General features: G+C 52.5%; 2 protein-coding genes across 4 annotated transcripts in view, besides 1 other annotated feature; one reads left to right on the top strand and one right to left on the bottom strand.

Moving 5' to 3' along the window:
• NAGS (N-acetylglutamate synthase) lies at positions 584–5,030 on the bottom strand. 3 transcript variants are annotated; one of them, NM_153006.3, is made up of 7 exons: positions 4,563–5,030; positions 3,741–4,015; positions 3,415–3,628; positions 2,943–3,123; positions 2,158–2,329; positions 1,879–2,061; positions 584–1,204 (listed from the first exon to the last, which is right to left on the bottom strand). In NM_153006.3, exons 1-7 carry the CDS (start codon positions 4,986–4,988, stop codon positions 1,051–1,053), a joined length of 1,605 nt encoding a protein of 534 aa, NP_694551.1. In that variant the 5' UTR covers positions 4,989–5,030; the 3' UTR covers positions 584–1,050. The 3 variants fall into 3 exon arrangements, with proteins under 3 accessions (NP_694551.1, XP_011522741.1, XP_011522740.1); XM_011524439.2 differs by having other exon boundaries at positions 4,341–4,656; XM_011524438.2 differs by lacking the exon at positions 1,879–2,061.
• Positions 3,352–4,107: an enhancer, noted in NCBI's record as "H3K4me1 hESC enhancer chr17:42082913-42083668 (GRCh37/hg19 assembly coordinates)". NCBI's record gives its function as "activates a minimal SCP1, AML or CMV promoter by ChIP-STARR-seq in naive H9 embryonic stem cells {active_cell/tissue: H9 hESC(naive)}" and the evidence as "EXISTENCE:reporter gene assay evidence [ECO:0000049][PMID:30033119]".
• The window catches only part of PYY (peptide YY), a 51,713-nt gene continuing 29,709 nt past the window's right edge, over positions 5,207–27,210 (top strand). Inside the window, exon 1 of the mRNA NM_004160.6 lies at positions 5,207–5,261. The gene's annotated coding sequence lies outside the window, so the exon portion shown is untranslated. The remainder of the gene's footprint in view (positions 5,262–27,210) is intronic.

Below are 27,210 nucleotides of genomic sequence, written 5' to 3'. Positions count from 1 at the left end.
ATCTTTTAACTTCTCTGGGCTCTTGCAGGTAAACGGTCCGCCACTGATGCCTGGGTCTGGCTGTGAGCCCAGCCTAGAAAGGGAGCTGTGGGTGGAGGCACTCACAGGCAAGGGGAGCTGGGGCTGCTGTGGCCTGGTCTGTGGAAGGGAGGATGCTTCCTAATCTCTGGGAGGGAGATGGTGGCAGCATTCATCATAGAAGTCTTCTACTCCCTCCAGGAGTCCCCTGATTCCCCAGCCCTCAAGATCTTGCTCCCAGCCTGTAATCCTAGCATTTTGGGAGGCCAAGCAGGGAGGATTGCTTGAGCCCAGGAGTTTGAGAGCAGCCTTGGCAACATAGTGAGACCTCGTCTCTACCAAAAAAAAAAGATCCAGGTGTGGCGGTGCATGCCTGTGGTACCAGCTTATTTAGGAGGCTGACATGGGAGGATTGCTTGAGCCTGGGAGGTCAAGGCTGCAGTGAGCTGTGATTGCACCACTGTACTCTAGCCTTGGTAACAGAGCAAGATCCTGTCTTTAAAAAAAAAAAAAAAATCTTGCTCCCACGGGGTCACTTCTAATTTTCTTTCAAGTGTAAGCTGACTCTCAGACAAGTATTTGCATTTTAATCAAGGCCTCCTGAAAAACTGCAAGACCCAAAGGAATTAAAATGAATGGTAGAATATCACGCAGGCAGGGGTATTATTTTGGGTAAGGGAGCCTCAAAACATAGCACAGAGGCACAGAAACTAGCTCACCCTTAGGGTTAGTCCTGAGTAGAGCCCTGGAAGGCACCCTCCCCTCCCCTAATCCCCAGGTTGAAAATCGAAGGCCATTTGGTTGTAGCTTTAGAGTGAGTCGAGTTGGGGTCCTAGACTGGTCCCCTTCTTTCCTGTGCTTGTCCCACTTCAGCGCCTCCTCTGGGCAGAGCTGGGGCTGCTTTCTCCTCTGCAGATCACTCAGCCAACAAGCCCCCTTCAGCCTGTGGCTGGCTGCCTGGGGTCATGCCCAGCTGGCATGGCTTTTGGTCCACCCTGGCCATTCCAGGGCCTGTAGTGTCCATGGTGAGGGTCAGCTGCCTGGGTCAGAAGCTGGCTTGTGAAAGGAGTCTGGCAGTCCCTTGGCGTGGTTGACCAACTCATAGGAGTCCCGGATATCAGCCAGGCCAAACCAGAAGAAGATCCACTGCTTGTTGGAGAAGCTGCCATCACTGTGTTTGAAGTACCTGGGTGTGGGGAGGTGATGTAGGAAACAGTTTTTAGGGCAAGGCCAGTGTTCATTACTCACTGGTTCTGTCTTTAAAAAACATTGATTGAGGACCTACTGCATGCTGGGCACCCAGCTTGGTCCTGCTGTGTGTTATCTCATTTTATCCTCACAGCAGAGGCCTGAGCCTGGCATTGTGATGCTCAGCTCACAGAGAAGCAGCTAAGGCTCAGAGAAGTTAGGTACCTTGCCAGGCGCACACAGGAAGGGAGCGGGTGCTTTGCTCTCCACACTGCCTTGGCTGTGCAGCAAAGAGGAGGGTTCTTGCTCACTTCCTAGTGCTCACAGAGCAGGGTGTAGGGGTGAGGGGGTAGTTACTGAAGGAGAGAGGAGGGATGTTCCACTGGAGGCGCCGCAGGCCTCCAATAGACCCTGAAGGGTTAGGATTCCTCAGGCCCCTGTGAGAGGTGGGCTGCGTGGGGCTTAGGAGGTGTCACTTGCTGCCAGAAAAGGAGTGTTAAGCATGCTTTAACTCGGGAAATCTCAGGCTTTCTGTGTGTTCTGCCCCTGGGAGGTAGTGAAAGGGAGACCAGTGGAAGAAGAGGAAGCCCAGCCTTCTTGGCATGGTTGGCAAGGGTGGGAGAGGGGAGGGAAGTCAGGGCCCAGCCCAGAGCTGGGAGTGGCAGGACCTACCAGGGATTGATGGGGTTGGTGACCCGGGAGCGCCAGAAAAGTGTCTGAAGGTCCCGCCGCAGGCACTCCCACAGCATCTGGCCGGAGCCTTGGCCCTGGCGGCTGGAGCTCACCACAAATTTGTCCAGGTACGGGGTGCCCCCCAGGACGGGCTCCATGGTCAGAATGGCGGCGGCGTTGTACCTGGCGCAGCGGGAGAGCGGCAGGCTGGGACCTCTCCTTGGTCCGAAGCTGCCCGACTGCCCCCCAGACCCCGCCCTCTGGGGTCCGCAGGCTTACCCCTCGGAGACGTAGATGGAGTGCAGCCGCGGGCGCAGCGAGGCCAGGTAGTCGTCCCTGAGCTTCTTGCCGAAGCTGGCGTTGACCAGGTCCACTAGACGGCCCTGGTCCAGCTTGTCCAGGCTGCGCACCCGTAGCATTCGCTCGGCGTTCTTGAACAGGGTCCCGGACCCTGGAGGAGGATGGGGAGGGGCTAGTCTGGCTGGAGGGCCGTTTGCGCAGCCTGGTGGGGACTGCAGGTAGGACAGGCGCTGGTGGGACAATTTCCGTCTTTGGGAGACCTCCACAGTGAAATGATTTCAGTGGTCTGCATAGATTTGTCTGTGATTTTCATTCAAGGAGATGCTTTCCCCAGGCAGAGATTGTGCCCCAAGTTCCTCCTGTCGCCTGGAGCCCCACCCACTTCCGTTAGTCTTGCCTCGCTCCTTGAAGTCTGTCTCCCGCCGCTGACCCGGCCCACCCACCTAAGCCCCGCCCATCTCTCCCGGTCGAACACCTCCCTTATGGTCCCGCCCCTGGCCCCGCCCACCGGGGGGCCCCTCCTTCTCCCCCCTAGTCCCGCCCATTCCTTTAATTCCTTCGGAGTTCCCTTCCAGTACACTGGGTCTCCTCCTCTCTCACCTCCCCCGGGTTTCGGCAGCAGCAGGAGCCATTGCTGTGACACCCCCCGCCTCCCCCTACGGCTCCTGGACAGGAGGAGAAGCCGCTCCTCCTGACCGCAGACACCCAGCCCCGGCCAGTACTCACTCCCGGGACCCAGTCCCCGGCCCGCCCACCGCCCTCACCCTTGTTGCTAAAGAGCTCAGTGAGCAGCGTGCTAGCGGCGGTGATGACGGCCGAGGAGTGGTGGGGCAGGCGGCTGAGCACGTCCACGATGAGCCGCATCTGCTGCCGTTCTTTTGTGCTCACCCACTCGGCGTTGCACACCAGGTCCAGGTCGGCGGGCAGGTTCACGTTACTCAGGACCTGTGTCCGGAGTCAGCGGGTGAGCCTGGCCCACAGCCGGCACGGACTGCCCCCCTACCCCCACGGACCTCTCTTTTCTCTGACCCCTTTATCCTTACTTCCGCCCGGAGTCCTTAGCCAGGGAGGGCGCAGATCTGGGCACCCAGGGCTGAACTCCTCCCCTATACTCCCTTAGGCTTTTCTACCCACCCGGCTTGCTAGTGAGTCTGCGGCCCGTCGGGGAGAAGTGCGAGGGGCGCAAGAGAAGGCCCGGATCGCCGGCGTGGGGGAAGGTGAAAGAAAGGGCCGCACCTTATGACTGCTGTCGCGCAGGCCGCCTGTGTTATTGAGGAAGATGATTTTGGTGGGCCGCAGCGCCTTGGCCAGCGACGCGGTCACCTCCAGGGAGTCGAGAAGCACGGAGCGGCGCGCGGCCGTCTCCCCGATGGGGCACAGGATGGGGATGCTGCCCGACTCCAGGCACCACTGCAGCAGGTCTGTCTCCACCGAGACGATGCCGCCGTAGCTGTGGGCCAGACGTGGTGCTCGAGAGGGCCCCCTCCAGGCCTGCCGGACGGGGCAGGGCGGGCAGAGTAGCACGCTCTGAGGACGCCTGGGCGGGCAGGGCGGGCACTCACCTGGCATGGGGAGCCGGCTCGGCAGCGCGTAGCACAGACCCGCCGCCAAAAAATGGCACAGCAGCGGCGGCGTTGTGTCGAAGCGCGTCTACCAGCACCTTGCAGCTCTTGGCCAGCTGCGCCTTGGCCTCCCAGAAGGAAAGACAGCCCGAGGGAGCCGTAGGGGCCGGCAGCCCCAGGACCACCAGCGGCTTCATGTCCATGCGCTGCAAGAAGGCCAGGGCAAAGGCCAGACTGGATACGCCCTGCTGGCACTTGAGCACCTCCTCGTCCACCTGCGGAGGAGTGGGCTTTCAAGGAGCGTGACACGGACCTGAGCCGCTGGCTCCCACAGCCTGGCCTGCAGGGCCGTCTCGGTGACCCTACCCTTCCAGAAGCTGTCAGGACCCAGTTCTGGCCACCAGTGCCCACCTGCTCCGCCCTTTGCCCCGTTGGGTCTTGCCACTCCCTTGTCTCACGCTGGGGTACCTCCCGCCCTCCTCCCTCCGACCTTGGACTCCGGGACATCTTTGGGGGAGGGGCAGTGCAAGCGGCTCCTGTCCAGGTCCTTCTGAACCCCTAACTGCGCCCATGTTGGGGGCCTTCTTCAGAGCATCACACCTGGCGGGTGGGGTCCCCCAGGATCCTCACTCGGGCTGGGCGGGAGGCTTCCGGAGGAGCTTACGGCCTCTCCCATTCCCGGCGGCGCTGGTCTGGGCCCTGCCGGGCTCCTTCCCGCTTCCGCTGCGCAGAGCCCGCAGCGTATCCTGCCATGCCTGAGGACAGGTGGCCGCACAACCCCATCCCCTCGCTGCGTCACGGCCCACGCCGGGCTCCGCTCACCTCGATGACGGCGAAGGGCTTGTCCGCGGAGTGATGGCAGGTCTGGAACTGCGTGAGCCAGTGGCGCGCCTCCCCAGGGCTGGCCCCGCACTGGTTCAGGAAGGCCTGGATGTCCCGCTGCACCAGCGAGCGGCCCGAAGGAGGCTCTGGGGACTCGTGGGGCACCGGGGGCCTGGGACTCGGCACCCACGACGGCTCCTCGGCGACGGGCGACTGGGAGACGTCGTCCGCGCCCGCGTACTCCTCGGGCGGGGGCTGGGGCTGCGACCAGGCGGTGCTGAGCCGGCGCCCCGGGCTGGTGCCCCTCGCCGCCCGCCGCCGCGCGCCACAGCTCAGCCTTCGGGCGCCCCCAGTGCCTCCCCGGCCTCTCAGCCTCGGGGCTACAGCAGCTGCCCGCAGAACCACAGCCATCAGCGCCGTCGCCATGACGACAACCAACTCTTGCCCCCCAAGAGTGGCAGTCTGTCTGGAGCGTCTGGCACTGGGGGGCTCTTAACTTGCCGTTGGGCGGGGCTGGACCTGGTCGGGGCGGGGTCCGGACAGGGGACCAGGAGTCTCCTCTGGGTGCGTTTGAGGAGGGTCAGGCCATGAGTCAGGGGGCGGGGCCACTAGGCTCCCCCGCCCCTGGAGGAACTGAACCCACTATCGGTCATGGGGCCGAGACTAAATGTGGCGGGTTGTCTTTAATCTGCTGCCAAGGTAGGTTCCAGGGGCGGCTTTGGGAGTCTGCAGGGCCTTGGATGATTGGCATTCTGACCAGAGAAGAAGGGACTGTAGGTGGCTTTGAGCACAGGGCTGGGCAGGGGGCTGGAAGGAGGGCGCTGGAAAGAGTAGAAGAAGGGGGGCAGTGGGAGGGCGGGGGCGGGTGGTGCTGGCCTTGTCTGTCCTGTTGCCTGAGCTCAAAAAAGATCCTAATGAATGACCATGAGGTTACCAGGGTTTGCCAAACTCCAGTCACTGGGTACCAGCTTGAGGAATTCTGTGATATCCTCAAAACACCCCTCAAAACTTATAATACTTTAGTGTTAATGCTTTTCTTTATCGAATATCACATCTGGTAAAAATAAAATAAAATAGAGTTTTTTATTTTGGTTTTTGAGATAGGGTCTCACTCTGTTGTTGCCCAGGCTGCAGTACAGTGGTGCAATCATAGCTCACTGCAGCCTCCACCTCCCAGGTTCAAATGATCCTCCTGCCTCAGTCTCCCTAGTAGCTGGGACCACAAATGCACACCACCATGCCCAGCTGATTTAAAAAAAAATTATTTTTTTTGAAGACGGGTGTTCACCATGTTGCCCAGACTGTTCGTGAACTCCTGAGCTCAAGCAGTCCTCCCACTTCTGCCTCCCAAGGTGCTGGGATTACAGGTGTGAGCTACTTCACTCGACCTCTGTAACCCTTTTTTTTTTTTTTTTTTTTGTTTGTTTGTTTGTTTGAGATGGAGTCCCACCCTATTGCCCAGGCTGGAGTGCAGTGTTGCGATCTCGGCTCACTGTAATCCCCGCCTTCTGGGTTCAAGCGATTCTCCTGCCTCAGCCTCCTGAGTAGCAGGGATTACAGGCAGACACCATCACACCCGGCTAATCTTTGTATTTTTAGTAGAGACAGGGTTTCACCATGTTGGCCAGGATTGTCTCAAACTCCTGACCTCGTGATCCACCTGCCTCAGCCTCCCAAAGTGCTGGGATTACAGGCGTGAGCCACCACGCCCGGCCCTCTTTAACCTTTTTAAACTTAAAGTTTATCCATGTTAGGTCTGTAACTAGGCCAGTATCACTTGCCATAAGCCTTAAGAATCAAGTGAGGAGGCGGGTGGGTCATTTGAGGTCAGAAGTTCAAGACCAGCCTGGCCAACATGGTGAAACCCCATCTCTACTAAAAATACAAAAATTAGCCAGGCAGTAGTGGCATGTTTCTGTAATCCCAGCTACTCAGGAGGCCAGAGAATCACTTGAGCCTGGGAGGAGGAGATTGCGGTGAACTGAGACTGTGCCACTGCACTCCCGTCTGGGCGACAGAATGAGACCCTGTCTCAAAAAAATTAAAATTAAAATTAAAATCAAAATTAAAAAAGAATCAAGTGAGAGGAAAACAATGTTATTACATTCCATTATATTCCATCTGCATAGCTTGCCTGCTTTCTTGGTAACATGGAAGGTTAGCAGGTGCCATGTGTTAAAGATACCCTAGCACCAAGCAAAGCCTTCTGTGTGGTAGAGGAATAGCTAACACATGTCGAATGCTAGGCACTATGCAAAGGACTTCACAAATAGTCATTCATTTAATCCTCTCAGTGACTCCAGGATAGCTATTATCATTATTCCCATTTTACAGATGAGAAAATGGAGGTACAGAAATATGTGAGGATCAGGGTCACTCAGCTCACAAGCCGTGGAGCTGGTCTAGGAAGCAGTTCTGCTCCAGATCCATGCTGTTAAGCAAGTTTTGGAAAGGAGTTGAAAGGCTTGAAAACATTCACAGGATATGATTCAATGTTACTTCATACTGTGTCCATGTGCTGGGCACTGTCAGCTGCACACATCCTGCCCTTGGGTACACTCTGATCCAGTCAGACCCTCTGTTGTTGTAGAGGGGGAAAGAGGACCCTCTGTTGTTGTAGAGGGGAGGTGACCTGGCCAAGGTCACACAGCTCGTCAGTGGCATGGCCAGACCCTAAGCACCCTCAGTTCCTACCCCTGCTCCTCCCTGCTTTCTTGCACGTGGTTTTGTCTCCCCATGCTGGAGTCCTGACACCTGGGGCTCTGCCTTTTTGGGGAGCAGGGCTTGGGCTACTTCCCTCCTGAGGAGTCTCCAGGGGAGGCCGAGTGAGTGCGCTTACCCGTTTCTGGGATCTTCCCCGCAGTCCCCCACCCCTCGGACACACTGTCCCGGGGGGGAGACTCTGTAGTGGAAGGAGGGGCTGACATAGGACCTCCTCATTGAGTTTTTTTGTTTTCCCACTTAGAAATCTTGGGTTCCAAGGCAAAGCATGAAGCAATGGCGTGGAGGGGCTGCACCCCCTACCTGGTGGGGCCACCTCCAGGGCCTTCTTTCTCTTCCCTCTTTACTCTCAGGCCCGGCCACACACACACTTCTCAGAATCCACTGGAGGAGGAGGTCTTAGCCTCCAGGGGCATAATAGTTTTCCTCTCCAAACTCCTTCAACCCAAATGTGCTTCTCTTTCCCTAGGCTGCAAGGCCAGCTCTTCATCACAGCAGGCCACCCCTGCTGACCCCTCTCCACTCAGAATTCCTTCTTGTCTCTGTCCTCTTTGACTCAGACTGGGGCTCCCTGAGGGCAGGACTGGTATCTCCCTCAGATGGGGGCTTCCTAGGGATCCACCCAATTCAGTCCCTGCTGACTGAATCAGCTCCATTGCCCCTGAGCCTATGAGGTGGAAATGGGCTGGGAAGCGGCTTCTGACTCCTTTGGGCTTCATCCCAGAGGGCCGTGTCCCCAGGCAGCCAATGGGGCCCAGAGATACCAGAGTAGATGATTAACTCCAGGCCCATTGACCCTGGGGCCACTGTGTCCCCTCCACCTCTCCTCTGGTTGGGGACTGGCCCTGCTTTCTGGAGGAGAAGAGTGTGAGTGTCTGGGGTCAGCACTCCTACCCAGCCCCACCCCTCTGAGTTGAAGGCCTACAGGATCATTGTTGATGTATGGGTCCAGCTCACATTTTTCTTCCTTTAAAGGTGGGTGTTATTTTGTTAGAGCAGAGCCTGTTGTCATTGTGCCCAGGTTCAGGGGCCCAGCTTCTCACCAGGCTTGGGTCTTGGAGATCCTGGGAGCAGAGACATAACTTCCACCCAGAAGGGTCCTGGGCCCCGAGCACAGTAGCCAGGTTTAAGCCCAAGGCTTTCCCTCCCAATACAGCCCTTCTTGGCCGCATCTCAGCCCAGCAGGGCATGAATGTGACAGGAATTGGCCAGGGTGAGGGGCTGGGGTTGACATTTGACAGTACCACATCACAGCTCCTGAGGGGAGACACACACACAAACATGCACAGTACACAAATACAGAGCCCCATAGCATTGAGATGCAAACAGATAAACGATGTGTAGACACACGGGTGTACAAAGAGACACAGTAGACAAACTTGGAGACCCACACCAGCCACAGTCACACAGACACTCATCTGTACGTAGAGGAATGCCCCTGTACACCATACAGGTGTACAGAGGTACACAGATCCACTCATACACGTTTGGATACAGAATTGTGCACTCACATAGGCCAGGTGTGGTGGCTCATGCCTATAATCCCAGCACTTTGGGAGGCTGAGGCGGGCGGATCACTTGAGGTCAGGAGTTTGAGACCAGCCTGGCCAACGTAGCGAAGACCTGTCCCTGCTAAAAAAAAAAATACAAAAATTAGCCAGGTGTGGTGGCTGACACCTGTAATCCCAGCTACTCGGGAGGCTGAACCTGGGAGGTGGAGGTCGCGGTGAGCCAAGATCACACCACTGCACTCCAGCCTGTGTGACAGAGCAAGACTCAGTCTCAAAAAAAAAAAAAAAAAGTGCACACTTAGGCATTCTCAGGCATTCTCAGCGACTGTGTCATATAGGAACACATGGACATAGACGTGAAAAGACACCAAGAACACAAAAACACACCCAGCTGTGGCCATTGACAGCTACAGGACACTTTGACACACCCAGAGTAGCACAGACCTCTTGACAGTGCCATCTGCCCTTATCTACAAAGGCACACAGATACACCCAGGCCCAACCAAAGGCAGACACAGGGCAGTCCTCCGGCTTTGTCATGCTCATGTGACAGAAACCCTGATCAAATCCACCTTCCATCTATCCTGTGCCTGCACTACACAGCTGAGCATGCATGATGGCTAGAGAAAGACATACAACCTCGACGCCTGGTCTCACTTTAAATTTACAACTACAAGCTGGGCATAATGGTGTGCATGTGTAGTTCCAGCTACTCAGGACGCGGAGGTGGGAGGATTGCTTGAGCCTGGGAGGTTGAGGCTGCATGCAATAAGCTATGACCACGCCACTGCACTCCAACGTGGGCAACAGAGTGAGGCTTTTCTCAAAAATAAAAAAAGAAAAGAAAAAGGAAGCTCTCGGAAAACATAGGCACCCATGTCTCTGCTCTCCACCTGTTAGTGTAGATGGACAGCACAGGTGTCATCTAAAGCCAGTTCCTGTCGTGGTGCACAGGCCCCATCCCTTCCTTCCTCCTGAGCATTGCTCCAGGAAGTCTTCCCTCTGCTGCTCCATCATCAAAATTCCCACCAGCATATAAACACAGTTATTTTCCATCTTAACAAAACTTCTTTTCTTTTTTTTTTTTTTGAGACGGAGTTTCACTCTTGTTGCCCAAGCTGGAGTGCAATGGCGTGATCTCAGCTCACTGCAACCTCTGCCTCCTGGGTTCAAGCAATTCTTCTGCCTCATCCTCCCGAGTAGCTGGGATTACAGGCACGCGCCACCACGCCTGGCTGATTTTTTGTATTTTTAGTAGAAACAGGGTTTCACCATTTTAGCCAGACTGGTCTTGAACTCCTGAACTTAGGTGATCTGCCCTCCTCACCTTAGGTGATCTGCCCTCCTCAGCCTCCCAAAGTGCTGGGATTACAGGCGTGAGCGACCGTGCCCGGCCTCTAACAAAACTTCTAACTTCACCTCCCCCGCCACCCCTCAACCCCACTCTGGGATCAACTAAATGTTGCCCCAATTCTTTGCTCCTTTTACCTTCAAAATTCCTGGAAAAAGCGAACAAAATTGCTGCCTCCAGGTCCTCCCTCTCGTTCTCCCTTAGGCGCAATCCACTTAGGCCATCTCCCCCACCCCTACCAGAGTCACTGTCAAGGTCACCAGTGACCACTGCATTGCTAAATCTAAGGGTCAATTCTCAGCCCTCCTCCCCCTAAGCCTATTGGCCACCTTTGCCTCCCTCCCTCCTCCTCGATACCCCCTTCACCTGGCCTCAGGCTGCTCTTCCTCACACTCCCTTCCTGGTCCTCCTCTTTCTCCTGCTGTCTTCCTGATGGAGAACCACAGAGCTCAGGCCTTGGTCCTTTTCTCTACTTTCTCTCTCTCGGGATCCTGTGTAGTTTTATGACTTAAATACCATCTCTAAGCTGATGACTGTCATGTTTTTAATTTCAGCCCAGACCATTCTTCTGAACTGCAGATCTGTGTCTCTAACTACCTACTCGACCCCTTGGACCTAATATAATAGACATGTAGTAGGCATCTCACATTCCAGGCATCTAAATCAGAGCGCCATTCCCCCATGCTGTGGCCAAATCTACTTTACTCACATCTTCCCATCTCAGTTGATGGCAGCTCAGTTTCCTCTTTTCTCAGAGCCAAAAATCTATGATCAGCTGGGCGTAGTGACTCATGCCTGTAATCCTGGCTACTTGGGAGGCTGAGTGAGGCAGGAGGATCTCTTGAGCCAGGGAGGTTGAGGCTGCAGTGAGCTATGAATGCACCACTGTACTGCAGCCTGGACAACACAGTGAAACCCTGTTTCTTTTTTTTCCTTTTCTTTTCTTTTTGAGACAGAGTCTCACTCTGTCACCCAGATTGAAGTGCAGTGGCTTGATCTCAGCTCACTGCAACCTCCACCTCCCAGGTTCAAGCAATTTTCCTGCCTCAACCTCCCAAGTAGCTGGGACTGCAGGTGCATGCTGCCATGCCCGGCTAATTTTTTGCATTTTAGTAGAGACACGGTTTCATCGTATTGCCCAGGCTGGTCTCGAACTCTTGAGCCCATGAAATCCGCCTGTCTTGGCCTCCCAAAGTGCTAGGATTACAAGTGTGAGCCACTGTGTCTGGCTGAAAAGCTGTTTCTTAAAAAAAAAAAAAAATCTGTGGGTTCAGGCATGGTGCCTCATGCCTGTAATCCCAATACTTTGGGAGGCCAAAGTGGGCAGATGACCTGAAGTCAGGAGTTCGAGACCAGCCTGGCCAACATGGTGAAACTCCGTCTCTACTAAAAATACAAAAATTAGCCAGATGTGGTGGTGGGCATCTGTAATCCCAGCTTCTCAGGAGGCTAAGGCAGGAGAATGACTTGAACCTGGGAGGTGGAGGTTCCAGTGAGACGAGATCTTGCCACTGCACTCCAGCCTGGGCGACAGAGTGAGACTCTGTCTCAAAAAACAAAAACAAAAAAACCAATCTATGGTCATTCTTGATTTTTTTTTTCATACCCTATGTCCAATTAGTCAGTATATATTCTACCCATAAAATATATCCAATATCCAATGTTTTCCCACCTCCTCCAGGATACCACCCTGAGTTGAAGAAATAGCTTCCTAAATGGCCTTAAAGGAACGCGGGCGGGGGATATAGGGTCGAAGCCGCATTCGTAAGGGGTGGATTTTTCTATGTAGCCTTCTTGCTTCCATTTTTGCCCACTAGAGTCTATTCTCAACACAGCTGCCTCAGTGATTTTTGAAAGGTGAGTCCCATGGTGTCATTCCTCTGTTCTGAACTCTCATGGCTTCCATCTCACTGAGAGTAAAAGTCGAAGTCCTTGTGATTGCCAGGCACTTGTTTGACCTTATTTCCTACTGCCCCTGCCCCTCCAGCCAGCTCACTCCTCACCAGCCATGAGGACCTCTTCACATAGCTTAAGCATGTCAGGTACAATTACTTTTGCCTTGGCACTGGCTGTGTCCTCTACTTGGGACATTTTCTGCAGGTATCCCCATGGTAACCTCCATCAGGGTTTGCTCAAGTGTTACCACCCTGTTTAAAATTGGAACACCCGGCCAGGCGCAGTGGCTCATGCCTGTAATCTCAGCACTTCGGGAGGCCAAGGCGGGTGGATCACAAGGTCAGGAGTTCTAGACCAGCCTGGCCAGTATGGTGAAATCCTGTCTCTACTAAAAATACAAAAAAGTTAGCCAGGCGTGGTGGTGCATGCCTGTAATCCCAGCTACTCAGGAGGCTGAGGCCGGGGAATCACTTGAACCTGGGAGGCAGAGGTTGCAGTGAGTCGAGATCATGCCACTGCACTCCAGCCTGGTGACAGAGACAGACTCTGTCTCAAAACAAAACAAAAAACAACCAAACAACAACAACAACATCACCCCAAAAAAAGAAACTGTAAAAAATTAGGCCACGTGCAGTGGCTCATACCTGTAATCCCAGCACTTTGGGAGGCTGAGGCAGGTACATTGCTTGAGCTCAGGAATTTGAGACCAGCCTGGGCAACATGGCAAAACCTTGTCTCTATAAAAAAATACAAAAATTAGCTGGGCGTGGTGGTGTGCGCCTGTAGTTCCAGCTACTCGGGTGGCTGAGGTGGGAGGATGGCCTAAGCCCAGGAGGTGGGGGTTGCAGTGAGCTGAGATTGCGCCACTGCACTCCAGCTTGGGCAACAGAGCAAGACCCTGTCTCAAAACAAATGAACAAATAAACAAACCAACAAAAACAAAAAAACCCAGCATAAAGTAAAAATAAAAAACAAGAAATTAGCCAGGTCTGGTGGTGGACATATGTGGTCCCAGCTGCTTGGGAGGCTGAGGTAGGAGGATCACCTGAACCCAGGAGGTGGAGGTTGCAGTGGGCTGAGATTACACCACTGCACTCCAGCCTGGGTGACAGAGTGAGACACTGTCTCAAAAAATGAAAATTACCCCAAAACCCCATGGCTTGAAAGAACCATTTTATTTGCTCATGGATGCTCTCCATGAGGAATTCAGGAAGGGCTTACCTGGTGGTTCTAGTTCAGAGTTTCTCATGTGGTTGCAGTCAGATGATGGCTGGAGCTGGGACAGCAAGGGTGGGGCCTGGGTCCAGCTGGGGGCTGGACAAGCATCTCTCTCTCTCTCTCCACGTAGTCTCAGAGTGGTCTCTCTGGGCAGGCTGATTTGGAGCAGCTTCAGGGCAGTTGGGCTGCTTACAGGGCAGCTGGAGGCTTCAAGCCCACCTGGTCCAGCAGAAAAGGTGGCTGCTGCATTGTCTTTTAAAGTTCAACCTTAGCAGTCCTGTAGCATTACTTCTGACCCATCCTATTGGTTATAAGTGTGTCACAAGCCCACCAGACTCAAGGGAAGGGGTCATGGGCTGCATTTCTTTCATATATATATATAATTTTTTTCTTTCTTTTTTTGTAGAGACAGAGTTTTGCTATGTTGCCCAGCTAGTCTTAAACTCCTGAGCTCAAGCGATCCAACTGCCTTGGCCTCCCAAAGTGTTGGGATTACAGGCGTGAGCCACTGTCGCCGCCTGCATGCCTGCATTTCTCTTCTTTTCGTTTTTTTTTTTTTTTTTCATTGAGATGGAGTGTCACCCAGGCTGGAGTGCAGTGGCTGGATCTCAGCTCACCGCAACCTCTGCCTCCTGGGTTCAAGCAATCCTCTTGCCTCAGCCTCCCAAGTAGCTGGGACTACAGGCGCCTGCCACCACACCCGGCTAATTTTTGTATTTTTAGTAGAGACGGGGTTTCACCATGTTGGTCAGGCTGGTCTTGAACTCCTGACCTCAAGTGATCCACCCACCTGGGCCTCCCAAAGCACTGGGATTACAGGCGTGAGCCACCGTGCCCGGCCCGTCTGCATTTCTTGATGGGAGATGTCAGGGCCTCCTTGTGGAAGGGCATGTGGGATGGGAGGTATTGTTATAACCATCTGTGGTCCCAGCTACTCGGGAGGCTGAGGCAGGAGAATCACTTGAACCCGGGAGGCGGAGGTTGCAGTGAGCTGAGATCGCCTCCAGCGTGGGTGACAGAGCGAGACTCTGTCTCAAACATAACCAAACCAAACCAAACCAAACAAAAACGGTTAACTAATGTAAATTTCATAGGGTTCTACTTAATATTTGCATATCCCAAGGTAAAGTTAATGTGCGGATAGGAGATTGTGGGGTATCGGGGTTCAGGAAAATATCCTAAGGGTGAATATCGAGCCTCCTGGACTCAGGGCGCAGGTCCAGCCGCCAAAATACCCCAGGGGTCCTCGGTGGATAGAGGACAGGGATTCCACTTTGCGCCCCAGGTTGTAATGACAAACAATTGCCACCAAGGGGCGATGCCGGCCCGGCCACGCGATGCAAAGTCTCGGGTAGTCCCGGGTAGTCCCGGACTGGCCGCGTGGGGTCCGCCTGCCCTGCGGGGACCGGCGGAGTGAAGGGATCCTCCCGAGGTGCTAGTGGGAACCGCCCCGGGGCGGCGAGGCTGGGGCGACTCCTGATACCCTCTTGCTCATGCTTACCGCCTTTCCCCCGGGGCCCTGGCCACCCCCGGCCCCAGCCAGCGCCCTCCCGTTCGTTGGGCCCAGGCAGGGCTCTGTCTCGGATCCCGAGACCCCAACCCTTCCGGGAAAACGCAGCTCGTGGGTGGGGGAGTGAGGGTGCAGCCTAACGGGGGAATCAGGGGCAAAGGCGTTGAGAGGAGCAGGAGGTTTTATTTGGGACGAAGGTGGGGAGTTCTCCCCTCAGGCTGAGCCACGGAGGAGGGGGCTCAGGCATCCTCGGGCGGGACACGTTAATGGGGCGCCCTTGCCGCACCCTGGATCAAAACGCGAGGTTCGAGTCCTAGCCTCAATCACTGGATTCGGGCTGACTTTGTGCAGGACTTTTGCTCCCACTCTGGGGATCCTTCCATCTTCTCAGTAGGGAGAAAGCTTCTCTCCCTACCTTACACGGTGGCTGCGGCTCAAACAGAGAAACCAAGAAAGTGGCAATGTTCGCTGACTTGACTGTTACTGTGAGTGGGGCAGGGGAAGGGTAAAGCCGACGGTAGCTTGAGGCCAGGGGTGGGGTGTAGGTTAAGGAGACCTGGGGAGCCGCTGCAGGGTTTTGAGGAAGGGAGTGCCTTGATTTGTGTTGAGCACTTGGGAGATAAGAACAGTTCCCAGGCAGAGAGAGGGGGGCCTGGCAGTGGGAACAGACAGAGGGGGCTGATGGTTACAGCACAGTATACTTATAATTTTTTTAAAATTTTTTTTTCAGGCTGGGTGTAGTGGCCCATGCCTGTAATCCCAGCACTTTGGGAGGCTGAGGCAGGAGGATCACTTGAGCCCAGGAGTCTGAGACAAGCCCAGGTAATGTAGAGAGACCTCATCTCTACAAATAATTTGAAAATTAGCCAGGCCTGGTAACGCATGCCTGTAGTCCCAGCTACTGGGCAGGCTGAGGTGGGAGGATCACTTGAATCCAGGTGGTGGAGGCTGCAGTGACCAGAGATTGTGCCACTGCACCCCAGCCTGGGCAACAGAGCAGGACCCTGTCTCAAAATAATAATAATAATAATTAATAAATAATTTCAAAAAATAAAAGTAACTTAGAGAAGTTACCAAAAATGTTGAAAATTGGATAAACAAAACCTACCTGGCCCACAAATACAGCTGCAGTTTGCTTTTGGTCTATTTCTTTTCAAGCTCTTTTTACACTTAAAAACATGGCTGTATTATTGTGTATATAGAATTAATTTTTCTGATTTTTCACTTATCAGTATGTCACAGCATTTTTTTTTTTTTAAGACAGAGTCTCACTCTGTTGCCCAGGCTGGAGTGCAGTGGCACGATATCAGCTCATTGCAGCCTCTGCCTCCCAGGCTCAAATGATCCTTCTGCCTCAGCCACCTGAGTAGCTGGGATGACAGATGTGCCCCACCATGCCTGGCTAATTTTTTTTTTTTTTTTTGGAGATGGAGTTGCGCTCTGTCTCCCAAGCTGGAGTGCAGTGGTGCAATCTCGGCTCACTGCAGGCTCTGCCTCGCGGGTTCACGCCATTCTTCTGCCTCAGCCTCCCGAGTACCTGGGACTACAGACACCACCACCACGCCCGGCTAATTTTTTGTATTTTTAGTAGAGACGGGGTTTCACCGTGTTAGCCAGGTTGGTCTCGATCTCCTGACCTCGTGATCCACCCGCCTTGGCCTCCCAAAGTGCTGGGATTACAGGCGTGAGCCACAGCACCCAGCCCATGCCTGGCTAATTTTTGTATTTTTTTGTAGAGATAGGGTTTTGCCATGTTGACTAGGCTGGTCTCAAATTCCTGGGCTCAAGCATTCCACCCTCCTTGGCCTCCTGAAGTGCTGGGATTACAGGTGTGCGTCGCAGCGCCCGGCGCAGCATTTTTCATATTACTTTCTGTATTCATTTCCTAAGGCTACCATAACAAAGCACCACAAATTGGTGGCTTAAACAACAGAAGTGTGTCCTCTCACTGTCTGGAGGCCGGAAGGCAGACACGCTTCCTCTGACAATCCTCCCCCTGTTCCAGCCTGTGTGGTTGCGGGCAGCCCTTGACTTGTGGCTACATCACTCCAATCTGCTTCTGTGGTCACATGGCCATCAAGTGATTCGCGTGCCTCAGCCTCCCGAATAGATGGGATTACAGGCGCCTGCCACCATACCCGACTAATTTTGTATTTTTAATTATTATTATTTTTTTTGATGGAGTTTCGCTCTTGTTGCCCAGGCTGGAGTGCAATGGCGTGATCTCAGCTCACGGCAACCTCCGCCTCCCAGGTTCAAGCAGTTCTCCTGCCTCAGCCTCCCGAGTAGCTGGAATTACAGGCATGCACCACCACACCCGGCTAATTTTGTATTTTTAGTAGTGACGGGGTTTCTCCATGCTGAGGCTGGTCTCAAACTCCTGCCCTCAGGTGATCCGCCCACCTCGGCCTCCCAAAGTGCTGGGATTACAGGCATGAGCCACTGCGCCTGGCCTTGTATTTTTAGTAGAGACGGGGTTTCACCGTGTTGGCCAAGCTGGTCTCGAGCTCCTGACCTTAAGTGATCCATCTGCCTCGGCCTCCCAAAGTTCTGAGATTACAGGCATGATCCACCGTGCCTGGCCTCAGTTTCCTATTATTAAGCACTTGATTATCATCCAATTTATATATGGTTATAAATGATGCTGTAATGAGCACTTTTGTGCATAAAACGTTCCCTTATATTGTTGAAATATTTTTTTGAAGGATAAATATTCAGAAGAGGGAATATCTGGTAAAGGTTTTTTTTTTTTTTTTTTTCTTTGAGACAGAGTCTTGCACTGTTGCCCAGGCTGGAGTGCAGTGCACAGTCTTGGCTCACTGCAAGCTCCGCCTCCCAGGTTCACGCCATTCTCCTGCCTCAGCCTCCTGAGTAGCTGGGCTACAGGCGCCCGCCACCACGCCCAGCTAATTTTTTGTACTTTTTTAGTACAGACGGGGTTTCACCGTGTTAGTCAGGGTAGTCTCCATCTCCTGACCTCGTGATCCGTCTGCCTCGGCCTCCCAGAGTGTTGGGATTACAGGCGTGAGCCACCGCGCCCGGCCTTTTTTTTTTTTCTTTTGAGACAAGGCCTCACTGTGTTGCCCAGGCTAGAGTGCAGTAGCACAATCACAGCTCGCTGCAGCCTCGACCACCAGGCTTAGTGATCCTCCAGCCTCAGCCTCCCAGGTAGCTGGGACTATGGGCATGGGCCACCACGCCCAGCCAATTTTTTGTAGAGATGGAGTTTCACCATGTTGCCCAGGCTACACAAGATATTTTAATGACATTACTGGTTCAGGAAGACGTATGTTGTGGGGAGAGGAAGCATGGAGAAGCAAAAGGAAGAAAAAAAGCATTTGCTACAGCCCATCTGCCAGAGGCAGCATCCACCAGCCTGACCATATAGTTTTACATAGACTTACTACCCTTATTTCTTTTCCCAGTTGAGATCTTATTTATTTATTTATTTGAGATGGAATTTCACTCTTTTTGCCCAGGCTGGAGTGCAATGACAAGATCTCAGCTCACTGCAACCTCTCCCTCCTGGGTTCAAGTGTTTCTCCTGCCTCAGCTTCCCAAATAGGTGGGATTACAGGTGCCTGCCACAATGCCTGGCTAATTTTTTGTATTATTAGCAGAGACAGGGTTTCACCATGTTGGCCAGGGTAGTCTCGAACTCCTGACCTCAGGTGATCTACCTGCCTCAGCCTCCCAAAGTGCTGGAATTACAGGCATGAGCCACTGTGCCTGGCCCCAGTTGAGATCTTATTGCAGGTGACATTTTGTATCCTGTCTTTCCCGCATAACATTAAATCCTAGGCCGGGCGCGGTGGCTCACGCTTGTAATCCCAGCACTTTGGGAGGCCGAGGCGGGCGGATCATGAGGTGAGGAGTTCGAGACCATGGTGAAACCCTGTCTCTACTAAAAAATACAAAAAATTAGCCGGGCGTGGTGGCGGGCGCCTGTAGTCCCAGCTACTCGGAGATACTGAGGCAGGAGAATGGCGTGAACCCGGGAGGCGAAGCTTGCAGTGAGCCGAGATCGAGTCATTGCATCCAGCCTGGGTGACAGAGCAAGACTCTGTCTCAAAAAAAAAAAAAAAAAACAACATTAAATCCTAGTTTCTCATATCATAAATTTCGTAATCATCTTTTAGGTGACTGCATAGTGTTACATTGTAGGAATGTTTCATAATTTTATATCAAATATGCTGTTATTAGAGATTTATGATGCTTCCAAGTTTTTGCTATTATAAATGAACTGTGGTGTACATTTTGTGCCTTGTATCTCCCGATTGCATGTATTAGGTTGGTGCAAAAGTAATTGCGGTTTTTGCCATTAGAAGTAATATTTCAGCAAGTGCCCAGAAGCTGAATTTCTGGGTTAGAGTGCATGAATATTTTTAATGCTCTTGAGTCTTGAGAAGTTGCTTTTCTTTCTTTCTTTTTTTTTTTTTTTTTTGAGATGGAGTCTCGCTCTGTCACCCAGGCTGGAGTGCAATGGTGCGATCTCGGCTCACTACAACCTCCACCTCCTGGCTTCAAGCAATTCTCATGCCTTAGCCTCCCGAGTAGCTGAGATTACAGGTGTGTGCCACTGTGCCTGGCTAATTTTTTGTATTTTTAGTAGAGACAGGGTTTCACCATGTTGGCCAGGCTGGTCTCGAACTCCTGACCTCAAGTGATCTGCCCGCCTCAGCCTCCCAAAGTGCTGGGATTACAGGTGTGAGCCACCTCGCCCCGTCGAGAAGCTGCTTTTCAAAGAGTTGTGCCAGTGTACACTCTCACCAGCCACGAGCCAGCCAGTGTGCCCGTTTTCCTGTATTCTTGCCATCTGTGAGCTTGATTAATTTATTTTGGAAATCTTACCAGGTAAAACATGGCATCCCATTTTGCCTTTTTTAGTTGCCAATGTTGGTATGGTTCCTTGCTAGTGGACTTGTCTGTTCATGTCCATTTACCTTTGGGGGAGCCTAATGTCTTACTTATAGATTTGTGTGTATATATATATATATATATATATATATATATATATATATATATATATATATATATATTTTTTTTTTTTTTTTTTTTTTTTTTTTTTTTTTTAAAGAGACAGCCTCTTGGTCTGTCTCCCAGGCTGGAGTGCGGTGGTGTGATCATAGCTCACTGCAGCCTCAAACTCCTGAGCTCAAAGGATCCTCTCACCTCAGCCTCCCAAAGTGCTGGGATTATAGGTGTGGAGCCACCATGCTGGCCTTGTATTAACCCTTTGTCATATTTGCCATCTGAATTTTTCTTAGTCTATTGATTCCTTCATTTAAAAAACAGTTATTGAGAAATGCAAATCAAAACTGCTTCACACACATCAGGATGGCTAACAACAAGTGTTGTGAGGATGTGGAGAAACTGGAATCCTAGTGTACTCTGGGTGGGAATGTGAAATGGTGTGGCTGCTATGGAAGCAGTATGGCAGTTCCTCCAAAAATTAAGATGGCAAATTTTATGTTATGTGTGTTTTTTGTTTGTTTGTTTGTTTGTTTTTGAGACGGAGTCTTGCTCTGTCACCCAGGCTGGAGTGCAGTGGCATGATCTCAGCTCACTGCAAGCTCTGCCTCCTGGGTTCACACCATTCTCCTGCCTCAGCCTCCCGAGTAGCTGGGACTACAGGCGCCCGCCACCACGCCCGGCTAATTTTTTGTATTTTTAGCAGAGACGGGGTTTCACCGTGTTAGCCAGGATGGTCTTGATCTCCTGACCTCGTGATCCGCCCGCCTTGGCCTCCCGAAGTCTTGGGATTACAGGCGTGAGCCACCGCGCCCAGCCTGTTATGTGTTTTTTACAATTAAAATGCTAGGGCCGGGTGCGGTGGCTCACACTTGTAATCTCAGCACTTTGGGAGGCTGAGGCGGGCAGATCACTTGAGGTCAGGAGTTCAAGACCAGCCTGGCCAACATGGCGAAACCCTGTCTCTACTGAAAATACAAACATTAGCCGGTGTGTTGGTGCATGCCTGTAATCCCAGCTATTCCGGAGGCTGAGGTGGGAGAATCACTTGAACCCAGGAGGTGGAGGTTGCAATGAGCCGAGATTTTGCCATTGCACTCCAGCCTGGGTGACAGAGTGATACTCCGTCTCAAAAAAAAAAAGACAGAAAGAAAGAAGAAAAAGAAAAAAAAAAGCTAGAGAACCAGAAAATATCCACTAAAAAGAAAAAAAGATGTTATTGAGTTCTACTTTGTGTTAAATATCTCTGTGTGCTGGCCATGGAGATTATCAAAACAATAAAATGTCAAGGTGCCCATGGTCCATGGGGATGGAAATATACAGAAATCATCACAACATGGTTTCAACTCCGCTCTGAGAGAGGATTGAGTGCCCTGGAGTGCTCAGGGTGGCAGTCAACCCAGGGCAGGTGAAGTGGTCAGGGAAGCTTCCCCGGGGAGCTGAATTGAGGATAAATTAAAGTTAGCCTGGCAAAGCGAGGTGGTCTGATCTGTGATTTCAGTTACGCTTTTATGACATGCACACCATTTAACGCTTGTGCGGGCAAGGCTGTTGACCTTTCTTTTTGTGATTTCTTCCAGAGCTTTTACGCTCGTAAAGCTCCCTTTCCGCAAGAGGTCTGATGATTCCATTTCGTCCTGTTTTCCACAGTTCAATTTATTTTTATATTTAACTCTTTAATCTACCTGGAAATTATTTTGATGATTGGCAGTGGGATGAGACCCTGGTGGAAGGATGAAGAGGCAGAAACAGGAGGAAATGTCTTCATTCTGCTGCCCTTCCTCCTGACTTGGTGGCTCTGGGGCTCCCACGGGTCACCTTCTCCTCTCCCTGTGGTCATTTCAGTGATGGATGAGTGGGATGGCGTGTGGCTGTGGCCCTGGGTGATTGGAGGTGATGGTCCAGTAGACCATGTTGGTCTGAATTAGGAGGGATGCAGAGCAGACTGCTGTGAGGACTTCCGGCGTGGGGACTGGACAGGACAGATGGAGGCATATGTCCCACCGCTCTCTGCCCCTCCCTGCTACCGAAGCACTCGTTCTCCATCCTTGCCCCCTTCCTCCCTCCCTATTGCTAATTTTAGTTCTCTGTTCATCTGTTTGTTTTGGGCTGTGTTCCCTGCTGGACTGTAAGCTCTTAGAGGGCACATGCCATGTCTGTTTTGCTCAGAACAACAGGCACTGGCCTCCTCTCAGTGCCTGGAGCAAGGACTGGCACAGACGAGGGGCCCAGTGAATGTTGGTTGGATGAACAAAGGGAAGAAATGGCCTCTTCATGCCAGCCCCACAGGGGTGTGGCATGTGGGAAGCTGGGAAGAGTGGTCATTCTGAGCTGTCTGCTCCAAGACCTGGAGACAGATTGCTGGATGGGGGACTGAGGATTCAGAACCCCCAGTATGGGTCGACCTCTCAAGGTCTGATCTTCGAGCTGAATTCCATCAGTAGCAGGGAGGCTGAGAGGCTGGGAGTCTCCCCTGCCCAGATGCCTTTTGTAGCTGAAGTCCCAGGGTAGAGGCGATGGGCTGGGCCCAGAGGAATAGGGCTGGGGAGACAGGGCTAGAGTCCTGGAGGCAGCTGCTTCTGATGAAGCTCAGTCTCAGGGGCTCAGAAACATTCATTACAGCCAGGAGGAGAAGTAATTAAGTCAGAGAGCAGCGGCGGGGAGGGAGGGAAGCCCCATTTTCTCAGGAGTCTCCAGGTGCAATTAATAAGGGCAAGGGAGGGGAGAGCTCTGCCCAGTCTGATGATATTGGTAATAGAGACATGGTTTCAGGGCCACGGTCACCATGTCTGTGCTGACCACCAGAGGAGGGGTGGACACAGGGGCCCGAGGAATGTGTTAGCATCTGGCTTCATGAGGCCAGGGCCAGACCGGCCTGAGCTGAGCCCTGGTGTTGCCGTTGACTTGCTGTAGGAACTTGGGCAGGTCGCATAATCTCTCTGAGCCTCAGTTTCCCTATGAGTAATGTGGAGCTAATAATGTGAACCTCATAGGATTGCTGTGGGATTAAATGTAAAATGCTTAGCAGTGTGCTTATCATGCAACAAAACTGGGATGATAGTTAGAGTTGGGATCCCAAAAATAGTTTGTGACAGCTGGTGTTGAGAATCCACGTGTCAGCAGGTATGTGGGCAGAGGGCAGGAACACGCAGGCTGCGCTGACGGTGGCTCCTGGTTTCTGAGTCCTGAGGCAGACAGCAGCCCTGGGAAGGGTATAATGAACCCCTGCTCTGTGTTTTTTTCCCCAATATCTGTGGTCCTTACATGACCTTGCAAGGCTATTATTGTTCTTTCCATTTACAGATGAGGAAACCAGGGCTTGGGAAGGCAAAGTGGCTTGCTGAAAATCAGTGGGCTGTAGAGCTGGAATTTCAGTTCAGGCTTGTCTGGTGCCACAATATTCAAACTCCTTTCCTTTAAGCTGCAAGGCTACAGAACCTTGGGGTGCACAGGAAGCCACATGACCCAGTCTTGGGGTGCACAGGAAGCCACATGACCCAGTCTTGGGGTGAACCATGGAGAGCAACAGGCATTGACCTCTCAGGCACACTCCATGCCATCTGTCTTGAACAGGCATATGGGCACGACGTGTTCAGGAAAGAAAGACCTAGACGCTCACCCTCTCTCTCTTTTCTTTTCTTTTTTTTTGAGACAGAGTTTTGCTCTTGTTGCCCAGGCTGGAGTGCAATGAATGGCATGATCTCGGCTCACTGCAACCCCCGCCTCCCGGGTTTAAGCAATTCTCCTGCCTCAGCCTCCCAGGTAGCTGGGATTACAGGCATGCACCACTACATCCGACTAATTTGGTATTTATAGTAGAGACGGGGTTTCACCATGTTGGTCAGGCTAGTAGTCTTAAAATCCTGACCTCAGGTGATCCGCCCACTTCAGCCTCCCAAAGTGCTGGGATTACAGGCGTGAGCCACCGCGCCTGGCCAACATTTTCATATATAGAATACCTCTACAGACTTTTCTTCCTGTGTATAGACATATATTTTACGAAATTGGAATTATTATATATAGGTATTTTTTTGTATTCTGCTTTCCCCCATAAAATCATATTTCATAAATATTTCCATGTCATTTAACATTTTTCCAAAACATGATTTTTAATGATTCCATTGGAATATTACACCTCATTTATACTATAATTTGTTCATGGAACAAATTTGGAAATTTGTGCTGTTTCCTATTTTGTGTGTGTGCTACTGTTCATCACATTGATGAATAGCCTTGTGCTATCTCTGGATATATCCATTGGTTACATTCACAAACATGGAAGCCTTGGATTGAAGGATAGGTACATTTACCCTAACCCAGCCTCCTGTGAGGCCTGTTACAGTCTCACCAGTGAGGGTGTTACTGTGTTGTGAGGGAACTTGCCATGGCCCAGGCAGCCTTGGACATTGTCATTTAAAAACATCTCTGTGGCTACACTTTGGGAGGCTGAGGCCGAGGATCTCTTGAGGACAAGAGTTCCAGACCAGCCTGGTCTATGAGTATAGTGAGACCCCGTATCTACAAAAATTAAAAAATAGCTGGGTGGGGTGGTATGCACCTGTAGTCCCAGCTACTCAGGAGGCTGAGGTGGGAGGATTGCTTGAGCCTAGGAAATTGAGGTTGCAATGAGCTATGATCACGCCACTGCACTTCAGCTTGGGTGACAGAGCAAGATCTTGTTTCATGTATTTATAAATAAAAAAATAAAAAATGAAAACAAGTGGGAGTCTCTGTCATTTTCTCATTACTTGTAGGTACTCTTCATGTATTCCAGATCTTAGTGCTTCTTTGGTTGTATACGTTGTGAATATGTTTTCTTAATTTTGAGAGTTGCCTTTTAATTTAGTTTTTTATTATACAGAGAACTATTACATTTTAATGTCGTCAAATTTATAAACCTTTCCTTTATATTTCTTTTGTTTGTATATTTAGAAGAGCCTTTCCTTTTTCATTATAAAAGTTATATAACAACTTTTCTACAACTTTAGAAGAGAAACAGACAAAGTCATGCCCAGTTCCACCATCTCATACAACCAGGCAGGATTTAATTAAGAGCAAAATCGAGATTTAATCAGCCGCTCAAGCCCTGGTGTAGATTTAGATGATCAATTTCAATAACCTCAGAGCTGACTGGTGCCTGACACCCAGATGCATTGGGCAGGGCATAGATGTGGCAGTGCAGAGGACTGCCTGGTATGGGCCTTCCAGGCTGCGTCCCTTTATTCGCCTGTAAAGGAGGAGGTGGGGCTAACACGCTGGTGTCTTAGGAGGCAAGTGCAGACTCTGGGTTCAGACAGACCCAGTTTCAAATCCCTACCCGGCCACTGGCCAGCTGCAAGCCCTAAGGTTTCCAGCCTCTCTAAGTAAGCGGTTTCCACCTCTGCGAAATGGGGGAAACAGTGCGTCCCTCACGGAATAGTTGGGAAAATGAAAGCAGATGGCAGTCATGCTTCTCAGGCAGGCCCGCGCCCCAGTTCAGTTAGATATTATTATAATTATTGGTTATTATGGGTGGTGTCGATGGTAGCTGTGTTTAGGAATTCCCGAGGAGCCTCCTGCTCCCACCTGCTGTGAATCCAGGTCAAGAGGTGGGGCCCTGGCTGTGTAGAGGGCCACAAGGAAAAGGAGGCCAGGACCGACAGGGCACCGGGTTCGGCCAGGCCGAGGCCACATCCCGGCCGCGCAGAGGGGAAAGGAGCAGGGCTGACCCGGAGGCTGCGAAGGCTCCCCGCATCCCCGGGGCTGGCGCCCCCCCTAACAGCGACCCCATCGCTTCTTGGATCCAAGGAGAGGGGCCGCCCCGCCGCCCCCTCGGTTTCTTATCAGCGATGGCCCGATAAACGCGGGCGATAAGGGCCTCCGGCGGCCGGGGCGTGCAAATGGGGCGGCGCGGCCGTGGTTCCGGCGGATCCGGGCGCGGTGTTTGCGGGAGATAAGCGCGCGACCGCTGCGCCCCGCTGGGTACACAGACGCCACTTAGCTGCGCAAACAGCAGCCGCTCGCCTCGGAACACTCAGCCCGGCCGGCACCGGACACGCGGCCCCTGCGCGCGCCTGGGGAGGACCCGGGGAGGCCGGTGGGGTGCGACAGCGACGTCATCAAGCAGACTCGCGCGGGGTCGGGGTCGGGGCATGGGACTGTGACAGCCCCGGATATGTCAAGGGCACGAGCCTACAGGAGAGTGGACGTGCACCGCGAGCCAATGTGCGCCTAAGACCCGGCCCCGGGGAGCGTTGGGTGTCTGAGCTTGTTGAATGAGGGCAGTGGGTGAGCTAGTGGTATCTGAGGGGCTATGCCTATGACACGTGTGCTTGGGGTCCTTGAGGGAGCCCCCAGGGCATGGTCCTCATCCCTGCAGTGCCCCCTGTAGCCAGGCTGCTGCCTAACAGTTCTCATTCTCCCCTTGGGAACAGGCACCCAGATCCCTGAGTTCCCAGAAGAGGCTCCAGCTTCCCGTTCTCAGCAGGACTGGGTCTTTGGGGCACTGAGCAGGCCCCAGAGCTGGGGCTCCATCAGGTAGGGCCCGCGGTAGGAGAGCCACTGGAGGGCCACCCAGCACCCCTTTACTGCTTCCCTTATCTCAGGGCATCAGCTCCACCCCCAAAACCCTCCTTGTCCCTGTCTCCTACTCCAGCTGCGTTTTTGTTGTTGTTGTTGTTGTTGTTTTTTGTTTGTTTGTTTTAAGACAGCATCTCGCTGTCACCCAGGCTGGAGTGCAATGGCGTGACCTTGGCCCACTGCAACCTCTGCCTCCTGGGTTCAAGCAATTCTCCTGCCTCAGCCACCCAAGTAGCTGGGATTACAAGCGTGCACCACCACACCCGGCTCATTTTTATATTTTTAGTAGAGACGGGGTTTCACCATGTTGGCCAGGCTGGTCTTGAACTCCCAATCTCAGGTGATTCGCCCACCTTGGCCTCCCAAAGTGTTGGGATTACAAGCATGAACCACCACGCCCGGCCTCCAGCTGCCTTTGGCACCCCAATTGGCTGCTGGAGGCTACAGACTTGGGGCCACCACTTTCCTCCTTCTCCTTAGAACACCCCTTACCAAAGGTCATCTGAAGAAGAAACCCTCTTATCCAGGACAAAATGAGCAGCTGTCCCCAGCCTGGAGCAGCCCGTTGAACACAGACTGAACACAGGCATCAGGCTCAGGCAGCCAGTTGAGCACAGAATCCAGCCTGACCCATCTTCAGGCACAAGTCTTGATGACATTTCATGAGCTTGAAAGATTTTGTCCAGTCCTGTTGGGTTCTGTCCAGTCACGACTGTTCCTTCCACGTGCCTTAACCTGCTTTCCCCCCAGCCCCTGCTAGTCCCCCTGCTTCTACCACAACCTTAGCTAAACCCTTCTCTGGCTTTTGCCTGACTCTGCCTGTAAGCAAGCCTACCAAGTACAAGTGTTCAGTTTGTGCACTGCACAAGAGCATCACATCTAGGGGCATGGTTCACACTGTAGTTAAGTGGC

Source organism: Homo sapiens, chromosome 17 (assembly GCF_000001405.40).
Source record: "Homo sapiens chromosome 17, GRCh38.p14 Primary Assembly".
Classification (NCBI taxonomy): domain Eukaryota; kingdom Metazoa; phylum Chordata; class Mammalia; order Primates; family Hominidae; genus Homo; species Homo sapiens.
The sequence above is the reverse complement of the archived record's forward strand: the minus strand, read 5'-3'. Positions and strand labels throughout refer to the sequence as shown.

Bases quoted from the DNA above. Each gene is read 5' to 3' on its own strand.
- NAGS (NM_153006.3), bottom strand. From the start codon at position 4,988: ATGGCGACGGCGCTGATGGCTGTGGTTCTGCGGGCAGCTGCTGTAGCC. The intron at 4,016-4,562 runs GTGAGCGGAGCC...ACTCCTCCGCAG, and splicing joins AGCCCTTCGCCGTCATCGAG to GTGGACGAGGAGGTGCTCAA. The intron at 1,205-1,878 runs GTAGGTCCTGCC...CCCCACACCCAG, and splicing joins ACCAACCCCATCAATCCCTG to GTACTTCAAACACAGTGATG.